Source organism: Homo sapiens, chromosome X (assembly GCF_000001405.40).
Source record: "Homo sapiens chromosome X, GRCh38.p14 Primary Assembly".
NCBI lineage: Eukaryota > Metazoa > Chordata > Mammalia > Primates > Hominidae > Homo > Homo sapiens.
In genome coordinates this window covers 154,375,130-154,390,960 of record NC_000023.11, presented here as the reverse complement: position 1 = coordinate 154,390,960, position 15,831 = coordinate 154,375,130, and the positions used below count along the sequence as shown (strand labels likewise).

At 61.7% G+C, this 15,831-nt stretch overlaps 1 protein-coding gene across 1 annotated transcript, besides 10 other annotated features; it reads right to left on the bottom strand.

Moving 5' to 3' along the window:
* Nucleotides 1–6,093: part of a non allelic homologous recombination region, noted in NCBI's record as "distal repeat sub-region recombines with the proximal repeat sub-region within the Xq28 proximal FLNA-EMD recombination region, resulting in an inversion", that runs on past the window's edge. NCBI's record gives the evidence for it as "EXISTENCE:Southern hybridization evidence [ECO:0000078][PMID:9140403, PMID:9384614]".
* Nucleotides 1–7,643: part of a biological region, named in NCBI's record as "Xq28 distal FLNA-EMD recombination region", that runs on past the window's edge. NCBI's record gives its function as "recombination_partner: LOC107988032".
* Nucleotides 4,200–7,643: a meiotic recombination region, noted in NCBI's record as "meiotic double-strand break mapped by DNA meiotic recombinase 1 chromatin immunoprecipitation followed by single-stranded DNA enrichment and sequencing in the germ cells of some male individuals with the PRDM9 A/A, PRDM9 A/B and PRDM9 A/C genotypes". NCBI's record gives the evidence for it as "EXISTENCE:chromatin immunoprecipitation-seq evidence [ECO:0000229][PMID:25395542]".
* Nucleotides 5,245–5,257: a nucleotide motif, noted in NCBI's record as "nucleotide motif; similarity to the predicted 13-mer PRDM9 A binding motif (LD hotspot motif), CCNCCNTNNCCNC".
* Nucleotides 6,380–6,395: a nucleotide motif, noted in NCBI's record as "nucleotide motif; similarity to the predicted 13-mer PRDM9 C binding motif, CCNCNNTNNNCNTNNC".
* Nucleotides 7,286–7,301: a nucleotide motif, noted in NCBI's record as "nucleotide motif; similarity to the predicted 13-mer PRDM9 C binding motif, CCNCNNTNNNCNTNNC".
* Nucleotides 9,438–11,666, bottom strand: EMD (emerin). Its single transcript, NM_000117.3, has 6 exons — nt 11,395–11,666; nt 11,167–11,271; nt 10,942–11,019; nt 10,594–10,727; nt 10,159–10,208; nt 9,438–10,079 (listed from the first exon to the last, which is right to left on the bottom strand). The coding sequence occupies exons 1-6, from the start codon at nt 11,474–11,476 to the stop codon at nt 9,764–9,766; spliced, it is 765 nt and encodes a 254-aa protein (NP_000108.1). The 5' UTR covers nt 11,477–11,666; the 3' UTR covers nt 9,438–9,763.
* Nucleotides 10,709–11,288: an enhancer, noted in NCBI's record as "H3K27ac-H3K4me1 hESC enhancer chrX:153608033-153608612 (GRCh37/hg19 assembly coordinates)". NCBI's record gives its function as "activates a minimal SCP1, AML or CMV promoter by ChIP-STARR-seq in naive H9 embryonic stem cells {active_cell/tissue: H9 hESC(naive)}" and the evidence as "EXISTENCE:reporter gene assay evidence [ECO:0000049][PMID:30033119]".
* Nucleotides 11,696–11,995: a silencer, noted in NCBI's record as "silent region_21098". NCBI's record gives its function as "represses an Ori minimal core promoter by ATAC-STARR-seq in GM12878 lymphoblastoid cells {active_cell/tissue: GM12878}" and the evidence as "EXISTENCE:reporter gene assay evidence [ECO:0000049][PMID:35858748]".
* Nucleotides 12,006–12,425: a silencer, noted in NCBI's record as "silent region_21097". NCBI's record gives its function as "represses an Ori minimal core promoter by ATAC-STARR-seq in GM12878 lymphoblastoid cells {active_cell/tissue: GM12878}" and the evidence as "EXISTENCE:reporter gene assay evidence [ECO:0000049][PMID:35858748]".
* Nucleotides 12,446–12,575: a silencer, noted in NCBI's record as "silent region_21096". NCBI's record gives its function as "represses an Ori minimal core promoter by ATAC-STARR-seq in GM12878 lymphoblastoid cells {active_cell/tissue: GM12878}" and the evidence as "EXISTENCE:reporter gene assay evidence [ECO:0000049][PMID:35858748]".

The following is a 15,831-nucleotide window of genomic DNA, read 5'->3' as shown; positions in this document are numbered from 1 at the left end:
CACTTCTGCGTGGACTCGAGCGTTCAAGATGGGCGTGGCAACCCGATGACAGGAAACCCTACACGGGCGTGCTCCCAGCAGGCTCCTCCGTGAGGGCCACCAGCCACGGGAAACCACGACCTTGTCCCTCACCAGCAAAAGCTCAGCCTGCGGCTCCGCGAGCGTGGACCGTTCCGTGGCCATGAGCGGGAAGAACCACGGGCCCCCGCCAGGGGCTGGGATGGATCTCGCGGGCGGGAGGCGGAGGGTACTCGGCCCACCCCAGCGGAGGACACCGCGTGGGTCCGCTGAGATAACGCTCCGCGGTGATGGACTCCATGACTCCCGGAGCAGAGCCCTGGCTGCGCTGCACCGCGGGAGGGAGGGGCTGCGTCTACTGCGGGGCCACGAGAGGGAGGGGCCGGGGCCGGGGCCGGGGCCGGGGCCGGGGCCGGGGCCGGGGCCGGGGCCGGGGCCGGGGCCGGGGCCGGGGCGGGACAGGAACCCGCGCAAGCGCGGAAATGCCCACGGCCGCGCCCTCCCGCGCGCACCGCGGCGACACCCGGGCCGCCCTCGGAAGGCACGGACGTCGCGCCGCGCTCCCGGGGCGCTTCACTTGCGCCCACGGCCGACGCCCCGGCAGCGGCGGGCAGGTGCCACGACCTCTGGACGTTTCTCGCCCCTTCTCGGGAATGGAACGCTTAGAGAAGCGCAGGTCCACACCCAAAACACAAGGCGGCACTGTTGCGTGTGCACCGGCGACTCTGCGGCCAGCGCCCTGGGTCTCGCCCCGGGAACGCCTAGGAGCCTGAGAGCGCCGCGCCACACCCGGCAGGGCCGCAGCGGCGCGCACGCGACGGGGTGTCGTCCACTGGGCAGCAGGAGCGTCAGTCAAGGGCGAGGGGCGGGAATTCCGTGCAATCTGAGCATGGTCATTGGCGAGGACAGGCGAAGAGGAGGACGGATAGGCGGGGCTGGGCGGGGCTTCCCGTGGGCGCCTGGAGCTTACCAGGAGCGACCGAAGCGGAGGCGGGGAGCGAGGCAGCTGTGGGCCCCGGCGGGCGGAGACTAGGGCTGTCCCTCCACGCCCCGCCCCCGCCTCGGCACCGCCTTCCGCGCCTGCGAGTCCTGGGCCGGCCCTGCGGGGCATGCGCCGAGTCCCCTTCCTTTGCAGACCGGTGGTCACTGTCTTCCCCCGGGGACGAGGCGGACAGGCGTCGCCTGAGATCAGGGCCCGGGAAGCCCCGTGAGCCGCTCTCGCCTCGGCGCCGTCGAGGGGCCGCCCCGCCCTTCCCACTCCACTGTGCTGCGAAAGTGCCTCGGGGCGCGTCTGGGGGGTCGTGGGGAAGCAGGGCCGCGCCCACCCGGCAGCGTCCAGGGAGAGGTGGGCAGAGCGGGGCGGGCGGCCGTCTTGGGGGAAGTGGCGTCTGGAGGTGTCTGTGCACCATTCCGCGGTGGCGCGCGGTGGGGTAACAAAGTCTTCCCCGTCCCTTGACAGCGGCGGCCGCCGGGGAGGGAATCCTGCTCTGCTGCGGGCGGTCGTGGGCTGGGGCGCTTCCTGGCCTGACTGTCTCCTGGGGGAGGTAGGAAAGGCGAGCCCCGCAGAGAAGGCGGTGGCTTCCCTCGACGTGGGTGCCAACAGGAGCCATCCCTCCAGCCGGTCTTCCCGCGGGAGGGTGCCTGGGAACACCCGCAGGGCTGGTTCCAGCACCCATGGGACCGCTGGGTCCAGCCCAGTGTTTCCGGGGAAGCCCCGCCTTACCCGCCAACCTTCCCGCACCGGGAGGGTTCCCAGCTGCTGGTGATGCTGCTCAGGCGACTCCCCGCAGCGCCACCACCCACCCCCCCGGGAGCCGGCCGCTGGGTTTGGCCCGTCCGCCCTGGTTCCTCTTTGCTGGGCTCTGAGGCCCGGCGGGACTTCTCCGCGGCGGCTCTGGCGACCCAGCATCTCTTTGCCCTGGGGTCAGACGGGCTCCCAAGGAATTGCATCCCGGTGGAGAAGACGCTTCCTTCCCTCTCCCTTCCTCTCCTCCGCCCCCTTTTGCTCTCTTGTCCTTGCACTTTGCCTTGTCCGTGTGTCCGGCTCTGTGTGTGTGTGACTGACGCGAGCCCTTAGTCACCTCTTGCTACTATTTTCTCCCCTTATTATCACTTGTCTCTTGACTGTGTGGTTTGCGGGTTGTGCTTGGTCACAGAGGGGATTTTAGTTTTCGTGTCATCAGAATCTCCAGGCTTTCCTGATGGCTTCTGGGGGTTCTTGTCGGTTTGTTTCCTTCTGGCTCACGCCGTGTCTTGCCCCCTGGACGCTGGGCACCAGTTCCGACTACTGGGTAACAGACGACTTCACGTTTCGGTCCTTCCCCACCTAGCACTCGTCTCACCCCCCCAGCACTCGTGTCACCCCCCCAAGGGTTCTGAGGGACAGGCTCTGGGAGGGCTCTCGGGGAGCCAGGACTGTGGCTCAGGGTCCCTCTCAGGCTGCGGTCAGGTGTCCACTGGGGCCCAGCCATCCTATCTGACTGGGTGGGGAGCCCTCGTGATGACTCTCCCTCTGGAGGCTGTGGCAGGAGGCCTCAGTTCCTCCCCACCGGGCCTCCTCCCCAGGGCTGCTGGGCTTCCCCCGGACCTGCAATCCAGTCGAACCAGCAGGAGAGGGCGCCCCAGACCCGGCCACAGTCTCTTCATGGCCTGGTCTCCTAAGTGACTCGCCTCGCCTCCGCTGTGGTTTTTATTGGTCTCACAGGTCCACCCTGGCGCGTGCTGGAGAGGGCGCCACGCTCAGGGTGGAGGCTGTTCCTGAGTGCTGCGAGTCAGAAGCACCCTTGCACGTGTAGACCTGCGTCGGCTGCTGGAGATCCCGAGCGGGCCGCCTCAGGAACATGTCCTTGGTGTCAGCGGGAGCAGCAGGCCACCTCCTGGGGCTGACACTGGCCGGGGCCTGCATTTCTGAGGGCGGGGCGTGCTTTGACATCCTGAAAGGGTTGCAAAACCCATCACAGAGAACCCCAAGAAGGGAGACTCTGCCACCGAGACCCCGTGTGCCCCGCAGGGTCTGCGCCGTGTGCTCTCTGGCTCTTCATGGAAGCCTTTCCCAGCCCTGGTCGGGGAGCCCCGGTCCAACATCCCCAGGAGCCGGTGGGAAGCCCGTTCTGGTCTGCATGGCATGAGTGCCCCACGCCAGCCCGGGTGGCAGGATGTGCCCCCCACCTCCAATGCCCCCCTCCCAGGGGCTCATTCCTGCCCCTGTCCCCTCTCTGCCCCAGGTGGGGCAGCCTCTCTCTGCAGACAGGGGAGGCCTCTCCTCCCCGCATGCAGCCCTGAAGGGGAGGGGCCGGGGCAGGGAGGGGGTGTGCCGCGTCGTCATGGTGAAGGCAGAGCAGCTCCTTTTCTCCGTGATGTGTCAGGTTGCCGGATACTGGGCTCCGGTCCCTGGCCTGGAGGGTGGGATGTGGAGGGCCAGGTGGGTCCTGGAAGGAGCTTTCCACTGGGGCCCCAGGAAGACCTTGGTGTCTCGTTTCCCTGGAGACGTGCCCCATCCTTCCCACTGGGACTGGCAAGTGACTTGCTGATGACGCTCTCCGTGGCTCTGAGTTTGTCACAGAGGTTCCGTGGGCGGTGAGTGCTTTTCCTGTTGGCCCGCGCCGCCTCTGGGCAATGCGGGGGCCCTTGGTGACAGCTCCTGGCCCCTTCCAAAGCCGCCTGGCCCTTCTTGAACCCGACGAGAGCAGGTTGCCGGGCCTTCCCTGAGGAATGTGTTCCTGGCAAGTGGGGACAGCCCCTCCCCCAGGGTGTCGGGTACAGGGTCCTGGGGTGCTTCAGGACACGGTCAGGCCCACCGACCCCCCACACTCCTGGGCCACCTGCCTGCTGGCTGTCCTCTGTGACCCTCTCTCCCCTGAGCCGAGGTGCCGGCCCGATCCCGCGGGAAGAACAGCGAGGAGGGCCGGCTCTCCCTGCTATGGGGGCCTCGGGGGCCTGGACGGGGACTGTGTCCTCCCTCCCCGGGCTGCCCGGCGCCCTCGCTCAGGGAGTGCTCTCCTAGCGACCTGTTCGGCAGATGGGCACAGCCACGACAGCAGCCAGACCCTGTCCCGGCCCATGCACCCACCTGGACGGATCGGCGCCCTCCTGGACTTACTGGCTCCATTGAGGGTCCCAAAGGAGCTGCCCCAGAGCACCCTAGGGGCGTCCGGACCCCTCGGCCCGCAGCAGCTACCAGCAGCCCAGGCAGGACCCAGGGGCTTCCGGGCACAGAGGCGCCGCTCCCTGGCTCGTGAGCCCAGGGCCTCTCCAGCCGTCCCCTGTTGGGGGCCTCCACTCCTGCTCTGGATCAAGGTCCTGCCCCTAGGGAGAGCTGGTGCCTTCGGGGGAGCGGGCCCTGGTTGCAGTTGGAGAGTGGGTCCAGGGATGGTGTTCTGCTTGGCTGCCGCCCTGCCTCCTGGGGGCCTCCCCAGATCCCCCCCGGCTGCTGTCAGCTGGGGCTGAGGGGTCCTGTGGCCTAGGGGGCATCCTGGTTCGGGAGTGCCCTGCCCTGGACACCGTGTCCAGGAAGGATACATGCTCACCCTTTGTTGGGGGCCAGGCACAGGGTGAGGGGGCACTCGGCCCCACCACCCGTGTCTCTGGGAACCCTGGCTGGGTACGGCCCCTCTTCCGAGAGATCCTGCCCGGGACTGGTGCCGCCTGCCTCGGGCCTGCCCCCCACACAGTTGGGGACCCTGGCGGGGCACCTCCTGCCAGCCACCTGCTGCTGTCCTAGCCTCAGCCGGGCCCTGCAAGCTGTCCATGTGCCTGGGACACCCGGTCCCTCTGCAAATGTTTGCAAACACCCCTGCCCCCACAGGCATGTCTGGGGGCCTCTCTGGGCCTTTGTGTGCCGAGTTGGGCGTGGGTGGCGGCGGGGGTCTTTCCATAGTCACCTACTTCCTGTCCTCCTCGGCCCCAGGTCCAGCGGTGCCCTGTCTGCTCGGTTTCCAGCCTGAGCCCTTTCCTGAGCTGGCCCGGTCCCCTAAGCTTCTGCAGCAGGTTCCCAGGTCCACCCCGAGGGACTCCTGGCCAGTGTTCCCAACAGTGTCTGAGTGCTGGCCTCAGTCCCTGGCCATGGATTTTGGGGAACCCCGCTCTGAGGGGCCGTTGCTTCCCTTTCCTCTCCAGGTCCCCTCCCAGTTTCCTCGGAGAGCGGGGATGGGGCTGTTGGGAGGCGGAAGGGAGGGTTGGGGTGCAGAGGTGTGGCTTGGGGGAGGGAAGGTCAACTGGGCTACCGCCCCTCCCTGCCCTCCCTGGACTCAGTCCAGACACAACCTGCGGGTTGGAGGCCTGTGCACCCTTTATCTCCTCCTAGTAGCCTGGCGGGTCCTCCTGGGTCTTCCTCAGTGTGTGTGAGTCCCCAGGCCATAGGACCCGGCAGGGTGGGGGCCCGTGCTCTGCTCTTGTTTTTGCTCCTACTTGCCCGCCCTTCCCGGGGGGGGCCCTGGCCAGGACCGTGCCAGTCTCTTTCCCTGCTGCCTGCCTGCCTGCCTGGGTGGCCTCCAGCTCACCACCCTGTGAGGCCTGTGGCCTCCCGCCAGGGCTGTCCTCAGGGGCCCGGATCCCCCTAGTTTATCTTCTGCCCTTGCCGCCCCACATGTGTCCCTCCCTGCAGCCTGGGGACGATCGGCAGGTTTGGGGGACCGGTGCCCTTGGTTCACCTAGCCCAGCCCTAGGGCGGTGGCCCTGCCAGGCATGGGGCTTGAGAGGGGATGTGATGGAGCAGACACAGGGAGGGGGCAGGAGACCCTGGGTGACTCGGGACAGGAGGGAGTGCCCCAGAGGTTCAGAATCCTGGGCACACAGTGGGCTGAGCGGACAAGTCGCAGCCTCAGGGGGACCTCCCGTCCTCCCAACTGGCACTGCATCTTTCTGGGCCTGGCTCTGCTGCCTCACAGCCCCGTTCAGCTGGTGGCTTTTAGAGGCTTCCAGAGTGTGCTTGGCCCCTTTACCTCTATGCCATTGGGCCCAGGGGGAGCAGTAGAGTGGCTGCGGCTGGGGGTGGGACTTCCCCTTTCTGTGTCTTGCTTGCCCCGTGTCTCCCAGTGAGTGGCCGCCCTGAGCCTGGGGCCAGCAGCCCAGCCCCAGGTGGAAGTCAGGCAGGGTTCCTCTGCCGTTTTCCTTTCCTTTATGCCATCAGAGTCAGGAGTGTGCCATGCTCATGAAGCCACAGGTCCTACACCCCTGGCACTCTCTTCTTGAAAGTGGTAGCAGCCCCGCAGACACCCTTCGTACCTCCAACCCAGCTGAGGGTCAAGGCAAATGTCCTTCTTGGCCGGTCTTGGCGCTGTCACCTCTTTTGGACCTGTCTGGGGCCAAGGTCAAGGGCCTTGCCAGGACCATGGGTTCTGGACCCTGGCCCTGCAGTCCCTCTCCACAGTCTCCTTCTCCACTGGCTGCCTTGACACTCTCCCAGCCCCCTCAGGTGGTTCTCCTCCCTGGTCTGGCAGGGCCTGGTGGTAGCGGAGGAAAAAAATCCAGTATCTTCTTGGACAGTGCCCAGAGTGGCCTCTCGCTTGGACCTTGGGCAGCTGCTGCCCCCTGCTGTATGTCTGAGCATGGCTGGAGCCCTGCGGGGGGCCCCAGATTCTTTGGGAACTTTGGAAAGTGGGGCCACAGTGGTCTCTCAGAGCTCTGGAGAACATGTAAGTGGAGGCCTGGAGGCTCTTGAGGCCCATGGAACCTTCCTAATCCTCTGGTTCCGGCTGGGGCACCCAGTGCACTTCGGTGTGTCCAGAATAGTCAGGATCCTTCATGGGGTTCGAAGCCCTGGGGGTTGGACAGATCACAGGATGGGGTTGGCAGAACCCTGAGGAGCCCTGAAACGGTGGGGGGAGTACTCCAAGGCCCATGGAGCCCTGGGGATTGGTGACCAAGCCCAAGTGGGAGGCCTCAGGAATCCAGAGGGAGCTCAGGGAGGTGGTGGGAGCAGAGCCCTGGGGAACGCCATGAGCCCTCAGGAGCAGGGAGTCTCGCAGCCCTTTTCATTCCCTGGGGAACTGGGGTGGGGACTCCGGGAGCCCTCTTCCATCCAATCTTGGGAGCTCTTTTGGAATGAATGAAAAGGGGCAAGCTACGTCAGGGGTGGCCGCTGTTCCTTCCTTCCCTCTCTTCCCTCACGCCAGACACCACAGTGGTTGCCAAGTACACCCAGCTACCTCCTCTTTACTCCCCACCTGGAACAGATCCAGGACCTGACCTAAGGCCTAGAAAGCACCATTTCGTCCCGATATCTGGATATCTTTTCCCTCCTTGGGATGCCCCAAGCCCAGCTCCACATCCCCCATCTCCCTGACACCAGCTATTACTCCAGAGCTTTGGGATGTCAACCTTGCCACCACCCCAGGTCCCATGTAGGTTCCTGCTAGGCCCCATCTGCCTCTGTCCAGCCACACTGGGCTGCAGTCCAGCCCCAATCCCAGGTAGTGAGTGCTTCCTGGGGGAACTGGACTGAGGTGAGTTCGGTTCTTCCTGTCAGTGTACTTGGTTTTTATCAGCTGCTGAAACAGGAGGCTCTGTCACTGCGTCCTTCTAGGGTCCTGGCAGTAGCAACCTGTTTGTTCTGCCCCCCATGTACAGGCTCATTAATGGGACCATTGAATCCCTAAGGTGGACCTGTGAGGAGGTGGCATCCCCTGCCCATGCCTACCACCCGCCATGGACCATCCAGGTCTCGCCTGCTGCAGGGCCAGCCATCAGTCTTTGCATTGGGCTTGGGATGGTGAGGGGCAGAGGGCAGGGGCTTGGGGAATCCACACAGCAAGTGGCTGGGCACTGCGGGGTGAGCCAGGTAAGAGGAGCTCATAGCAATGAAACAAGAAAGGCTGAAACTGTGAGTGGTAAGAAAATTAGAAGTGATTCACTCTTTTCTGCATGTTTGCAACACACAAGGACCATGTACTATTTTAGGACCAAAAATATACGTGAGGAGAGACGAGGATGCAGCCAAGATAAATGGTCAGGAGTAGCCAGGGAGGGTCCCAGCCCCAGCCCTGCCTCCACAAATGCATGTGCAGGCACTACATGGGAGCTGTGCCAAGTGTGGGAGGCTGGGCTGTCCCACTACCTGCAGCAAGGAGCCAAAGGCTTGGGTGACTAATGCCAGCACCCCACCCCTTGCTGGGCCTCTGCTTCCCACCTGCCCGTGTGCAGTGGACGGCAGCCCCTCTGTGCTCTCCCGCCCTCTGCCAGCAGCATAGAGCCAGGCATGCACAGCAACACGTGGCATTGTCTTGGGTTTTAGTACCCACTTTCCACTTAAAAACATATATGTAGACTGGGCACGGTGGCTCACACATGTAATCCCAGCACTTTGGGAGGCCAAAGTGGGTGGATCATGAGGTCAGGAGATGGAGACCATCCTGGCCAACATGGTGAAACCCTGTCTCTACTAAAATACAAAGCAATAGCCGTGCACGGTGGTGCACACCTGTAGTCCCAGCTACTCGGGAGGCTGAGGGAGGGGAATCGCTTGGACTCAGGAGGCAGAGGTTGCGATGAGCTGAGATTGCGCCACTGCACTCCAGCCTGGCGACAGTGAGACTGCATCTCAAAAAAATAAATAAATATATAATATATATAGTAAACTTCGGCTGGGCACGGTGGCTCATACTTGTAATCCCAGCACTTTGGGAGGCCAAGATGGGTGGATCACCTGAGGTCAGGAGTTTGAGACCAGCCTGACCAATACGGTGAAACCTCGTCTCTACTAAAAATACAAAAATTAGCCAGGTATGGTGGTGCGCGACTGTAGTCCCAGCTACTAGGGAGGCTGAGACAGAAGAATTGCTTGAACCCGGAGGCAGAGGTTGCAGTGAGCCAAGATTGTGCCATTGCACTCCAGCCTGGGTGACAGAGCATGACTCCGTCTCAAAAAAAAAAATTATATATATATATACTTTGAAGATTATGAAATACATACCCAGGGCAGAAAACCTGGGAGCTAAGTGAGAATATAGGCAGGTGAATTCAATCACCCAGGGATGATGGGGCATTTCAGCCTTTGGAGCTTTTCTCCCATGTTAAACAAGCAGCAGTTCCAGGAGCTGAGAATGATGTGCCAGAGACGCCTCATTTTCTTTCCATCCCCATGCCATTGGACACCGAGGTGGACTTCAGCTTTTTCCAGTTAAAACACCCGCAGACTGCTGGTAGCGTGCATGCAGCTTTGCCTGAATTTCCAAGTGGGTTCTCTGTATATACCTTGTTGTACCACGATTATATGTATAAGCAGTTACACGTGCTTTGGGGAATGAGTTAGGGAATAAAACTCCCAAACAAAACACAAACATCTCTGGGTAACATTTGATTCCTATCCCCAGACTAAAGCAAAAATGCGGACCCAACAAAGCCGGATTGCAATCCTGGAGCCCCAAGACGCAGAGGCCCTTGCCATGGGAGCCCAACCCTCTCCTCCAGGAAGAGCCAACGCATTACAAATAAACGGGGCTTTTATTGTGTGTCCACAAAAACAAAGTCAGGGTGGCCTTTGGTTAATCCCCTCCCCCCAACAAGATGACAAAAGGAGGAATGCATGTCAACAAAATGACAAAGAGGACCATGGAGGGCCTGAGTCTGCTGCCTCCCTGGTGGGACAAGGCAGGGGGAGCAAGCACTACTCTGGGCTAGGCCCAGCGCCCCCCAAGCAAAAACACATAAAGCCCCTGCCCCTGCCCCCACCCCCACCCCCACTGCTAAGGCAGTCAGCCAGGACTTCCCCAAAGACCTAGCTCTGAAGCCCAGACCCTCATGGCTCCCTCTAGAAGGGGTTGCCTTCTTCAGCCTGCATGAAGTGGTAAATGAAGAAGAGGACGATCACAAAGACCAGGAAAAGCAGCAGCTGGCCCCAGAGCGGGACCTGGCGATCCTGGCCCAGCCCAGCCCCAGGAGCACGGTTTTCAGGCCGGATGGCACGGCGGGTGAGCCATGAAGAGGAAGATGATGAGGAGGACATAAAAGAGGTGGAGGAGGAAGTAGGATAATAGGACAGGTCCAGGGAGCTCCTGGAGGCTGAAACAGGGCGGTAGTGCGTGATGCTCTGGTAGGCACTGTCCCGGCCGTACATGGGGCGTTCCCTGAGGCAAAAGAGGGGAGCAAGTGGGCCAGGAGCCTGGACCCAGAACCAGCCCGTCCCTGGGCTCCCCCACTACGCACCTATCCTTGCACTCCTCTTCAGAAGAAGACAAAAGATCGTCATCATGCACCTGCAGAAGAGAGTCAGGGCGAGGGGACTGGCTGGCAGGGCCACCATGGCCCTGTCATGTCCCTCAGTCCAAACTTCCCCAGCCAGTCCCCTCTGACCTTTGGTTAGAGGCCAGGAACCCACACCCTCCTGAATGGCTCTGGGTGTTCAGCCCTTTATCCATGGGGCCTTGCCACTTGTGCTCATGCCCCAGCATCCCCTTTTGCCCCCAGGACTCTCAGGAAGAGTCTGAGCCTAGATCCCAGACCAGGGTGCTCTAGTCACACAGAGTCTCCCCGGAGGCCCAAGAGCCACCATTTGTACCCAGTGCCCCCCTGGATTTATCCAAACACAGCCGCGATCCCCTAGGTTGTACCCAAGTACAGGACGCCTGCCAGCCAGCTCACCTGGTGATGGAAAGCGTCAGCATCTGGGAATGAAGTCACTGACTGGCGGACAGCCCTGGACGGGCCGGCAGACTCGGGCTCCCCATAAGTCCTGGTGGTGAAGTAGCTCTCTTCATAGTAGTCGTCATTGTAGCCTTGGGAAGGGGGGCAGCGGTAGCAGAGGGGGCATCGGTGTGCCCCGCCTGGCCTGATGGCCCTAATCTGAATCCCATTTCGGGACCTGTAACAGTTTCTCCCTCCTAAGGCTGCTGGAGTGGTTGGGACTGAGGTCTCAGGTCCTCCCTGTGAGCGGGGTCCCTGACGAAGTCGGGTGAAGGTGCCAGCGTGCCCACCCAACCCCTGCCTTACCCTTGCTCTGGTAGAGTAAAGCGTCCTCTTTCTTGGGAAGATCATACATATCTGCATCCCCTCTAGTCGAATTCAAGTCTGGATTGAAAGGAGGAGACAGAACTGTTTGCCCCCCCAGACTTCCCTCCCCTTTCTCCAGTGCCGCTCTCGACCGGCCCCCCTGCCACACCCTCGCGACCCCATCCTCCCCGCGTCCCAGGCTGTCCCCACAGGCGAGGCTCTCACCAGAGAAGCTATAAGAGGAGGCGGCGGACGAGCTGGGGGGCGAGAGCCGCCGCCTCTGGGTCTCGTACTCGAAGATCTTCTTCTCGTAAAGCCTACGAGTTGATCCTGGCCGGACACGGGGCGGTCAGGGCCGCGGGCCGGGGAAGGCGCGCGGGGAGGGCAGCGGGGAGGTCGCGAGGCGGAGCACGAGGAGGGGGCCCGGAAGGGGTCCCGCCCGCCGCCGCGTACCTACTACAGGCCCGTGCGGGATGTTGTACCGGCGCAGCAAGGTGGTCAGCTCGGTATCCGAAAGATCTGCGTAGTTGTCCATGGCGGGTGCGGGCTCAGGCGGAGGCCTGGCGGCGGCCCGGGCCTACCAAAACCGGCCGAGCAACGGCTGCCGAGGAGCACGGCGGGGGCGGCACGAGCGCATCGGGAGCGGCCGCGCTCGCGTCACAGCCGAATCGTTGTCGCGTCACAGCCGAATCGTTGTCGCGTCACGGCCGCTGGCTCCGCAGGCTGCGCGCGCTGCGCGGGGCGGGACCTAACCGCGGGAGCAGCCGGCACAGACCGGCCGTGCCCTGAGAGCTGGGAGGCTGGGGCCGCGAGCCCAAACGTCATCAACGCGAGGATTGGCTAGCGGCGGAGAGGGCGGGGCCCGCCCGGGAGTCAGGGCGGTGGGAACCGGTCTCGCGATGGGAGCGGGCGGGGCCGCAAGCCCATATGTCACAAGCACGGGGATTGGCTAGTGATGGAGGGGGCGGGGCCCGCGCGGGCGCGGAGCAAAAGGTCTCGCGGTGGGAGCGAGCGGGGCCGCGAGCCCATACGTCACAAAACGGGGATTGGCTAGCGATGGAGGGGGAGGGGCCCGCGCGGGCGCGGAGCAGAAGGTCTCGCGGTGGGAGCGAGCGGTACTGCGAGCCCGGACGCCACTAATGCATGGATTGGCTAGCGGCGTAGGGGGCGGGGCCCGCGCGGGAGTCAGGGCAATGCAAACCGGTATCGCTGTGGGAGCAGGCGGGGCTGCGGGCCCAAAAGTCACAAACGCACAGATTGGCTAGCGGCAGGGGGCGGGGCCCGCGCGGGAGTCAGGGCGATGCGGCTGGGAGCCCAGACGTCACCCTGTGGCGTGCGGCGGGGTGAGAGGGGCGGGGCCTGCGCGCGAGGGACCCGGGACGTGCGAGCGGGCGAAGTCGGCGCTTGGGGTGGCTCTGGTCCCTAAGTCGCTTGGGCTTCGCCCGATCCCTGCACATCCCTACTCCCCGCCGTCGTCCCCCTTCCCAGGGCCCCAGAGCCTAGGGTTCCCCGGCCGCATCCCGGTCGGCCGCCCCAGCAGCGGCGGGAAGGGCCCGGACCCTAAGAGAGCGCGGGCCCCGGGCCAGGCGCTGCCGAGGGCGCTTTGTGTGCGCATCGCCCGGGAAGCGGCTGCAGGGCAAGGCCCGCGCCTACGCGATCCCCGCAGACCCCCTGCCATGGGCCCGCCTTCCCAGTCTGCGGGGCTCTCGCCCGCGCACATGTGCCTGCTGCTTACCACCGCCTACCCCTCTGCTTCCCTTCCTCCTCCCTCGCTCCACCCGGGAGGAAATGGGGCACTGGGCCAGGAGGCCGCTGGCACTCCAGAAGCAAGCAGTCTTCGAAGGGGCCCGGGCATGCCGACGGGCACGCCAGTGGGCGCGGGCAGAGGGCGCCGTGCGATGCGTGCAGAGACGACGTGTGCCCGCCTAACCCTTCATGCCGTTCATTCACCCGGGGCACTGGGGGGAGCTGAAGTGGGGCGTCCTCTCCTGTCGGAATGGTCCCTGAGCGCAGCGTGGCTAGGCAGGGGGCAGACGTGGGTGGCGAGCTATGGATTCCCATTCCCAGGGCCTTGATCAGATATTGGCTGTCTCATGGAGAAGAGAAAGGAGGTGACATTCATCATTCATATTCTTTTTTTTTTTTTTTTTTTTTTGAGACAGTCTCGCTCTGTCACCCAGGCTGGAGTGCAGTGGTGCAATCTTGGCTCTCTGTAGCCTCCACCTCCCGGGTTCAAGTGATTCTCCTGTCTCAGCCTCCCGAGTAGCTGGGAGTACAGTCACATGCCACCATGCCTGGCTTTGTATTTTTAGTATTTAGTATTTGTATTTTTAGTAGAAACAGGATTTCACCATGTTGGCCAGGCTGGTCTCGAACTCCTGACCTCAAGTGATCAGTCCGGCTCGGCCTCCCAAAGTGCTGGGATTACAGGCATAAGCCACCGCGCCTGGCTGTGACATTCACATTCTAAACAAAGCCAGCTGAGGGTGTATGGAATCAACTAGTGTGCCCCTCACTGGGTAGGCCCCAAACTGGGAGCATGAAGAGGTGACATGCCATCTGTAGTTTCACAGTTGAGGGCTGGTGACAAGGGAAGAAGAGGGGAGGGCTCTGGTCATGTCCAGAATGGCTGGCCTGGCTGGTGAGGGTCACAGACCAGTCATCCATGGAGGTTTGCCCATGGGGTGGGAAGAGGTAGACACCTGGGGGAGTAATGAGGAGATGGGGCCCTGTTTTGACTACACGCAAAGATCCTAACAAAGAGGAATCACTGTTGGCAAGGCCCCACTGTGTCCCCAGCAATATGGAAGGAAGTGTGGGTCCATGAAGACAGTGCCTGGCAGTGTGCAGCAGGAGAGCCTTGGGTAGGGCAGGGGTTTGCACCTCATCTTTCAGAGCTGAGGGGACAGATGGCAGTTTGGACTCTGGGCTGCTCAGAGGCTGCCTTGTGGATTTTTTAGTTTTGACAAAATCAGATTCCCCAGCACCTCTGCAAGCCTTCTGCAATCCTGGCCCCTCTCCCAGAGGCCTCTGTGTACTAAGTGCTGCTCCATCCTCCCCCATGCCACCCCTCCCCATACGGATCCAAGCTGTTTCCTTATGAGGTCAAGGAATTCTAGATTTGCCTTCTCCCTAAGGAGCACCCCCCACCCGTTCTGTACCTGCCTCGACACTCTGCCTTTTATGTCCCACCCCTTTGCCCCACAATCAGGTCCCACCACAGATGGCACCAGGAAGCTGAACTGTGATGGTCCCCCTGCACCCACCCTGTGGGTACCTGGAGCCTAAGTCCAGCCCCATTGCAGTGCAGCTCCACTCCAGACCACTGGAAGCCAGGCAGGCTCCTGAGCAGCAGAGCCTCCATCTTATACAGGGAGAGTCAGGACCCTGCGATCAGGGGAGACTTGTCCAAGAGCCCTGAGTACAGCAATTAATTCATGGAACATTCCCCCACCAGTACCTGGTCCCTGGGGGTGATGACCTGGACAGCCTCAGAGAGTTTCCCGTCAAGGGTAGGGTGGGATTTGCAGTCATCAGAGGGTCTGGGAAGGGCGTGTGCAGGAAAATCTGAGGGCCTCAGGGGGTTCTTCCTGGGAAGTGCAGGCAGAGGAGACATCGGGATGCAACCAATTCTAAGTCAAGAATAAGAAAACTGAGTTGCTCCTTAAGGATGGAATGGCTTGCAAGCAGTATATGCTGTATAACTTACAATCCCAACATGATTGAGTTACGAGGAAAAAATATCAACATGGAAACATTCCTCAGTGTCTATGACAAGTAGATGATTGTTCACTGAGCTGTTAACGTTATTTTTTTATTTGTATTTTTATTTTTATATTTATTATTTTTTTCCAAGACACAGTCTAGCTCTATCACCCAGGCTGGAGTGCAGTGGCGCAATCTCAGCTCACTGCAACCTCCGCCTCCCAGGTTCACGCGATTCTCCTGTCTCAGCCTCCCGAGTAGCTGGGATTACAGGCGCCTGCCACCACGCCCAGCTAATTTTTGTATTTTTAGTAGAGACCGGGTTTCACTGTGTTGACCAGGCTGGTCTCAAACTCCTGACCTCGTGATCCACCTGCCTCAGCCTCCCAAAGTGCTGGGATCCACCACGCCCGGCCTTTTTTTTTTTTTTTTTTTTTTTTTTTGAGACGGAGTCTCTATCACCCAGGTTGGAGTGCAGTGACGTGATCTCGGCTCACTGCAACCTCTGCCGCCCGGGTTCACGCGATTTTCCCGCCTCAGCCTCCCGAGTAGCTGGGATTACAGGCGCCTGCCACTGCGCCCGGCTAGTTTTTATATTTTTAGTAGAGACGGGGTTTCACCATCTTGGCCAGGCTGTTCTTGAACTCCTGACCTCGTGATCCACCCACTTCGGCCTCCCAAAGTGCTGGGATTACAGGCATGAACCACCGCACCTGGCCTTTTTTTTTATGTTTAGTGACAGGGTTTCACTGTGTGACCCAGGCTGGAGTGTAGTGGTGAAATTATAGCTCACTGCAGCCTCAAACTCCCGGGCTTAAACGATCCTCCCATCTGTCTCCTGAGCAGCTGAGACTACCGGTGCACGTCACCACGCCCAGCTAATTTTTATATTTTTGGTAGAGATAGTGTCTTGCTGTGTTGCCCAGGTTGGTCTCAAACTCCCGGGCTCAATTAATCCACCTGCCTCAGCTTCCCACAGTGCTAGGATTATAGGCATGAGCCACCATGCCCGGCCAATGTTTTCTTTAAGATCAGAATCTTCTTAATACTAAACAAACTTAACTTTCTCGTCCCCCTGAGCGATCCTGTTTCTGCTGCCCACCCCAGGCCAGACCTGGCAGCGCCTGATCCATGGCAGTCAGGTTCATCCCAGGGCTCGGAGCCCTGCAGTCCCGTCCCGGGGCC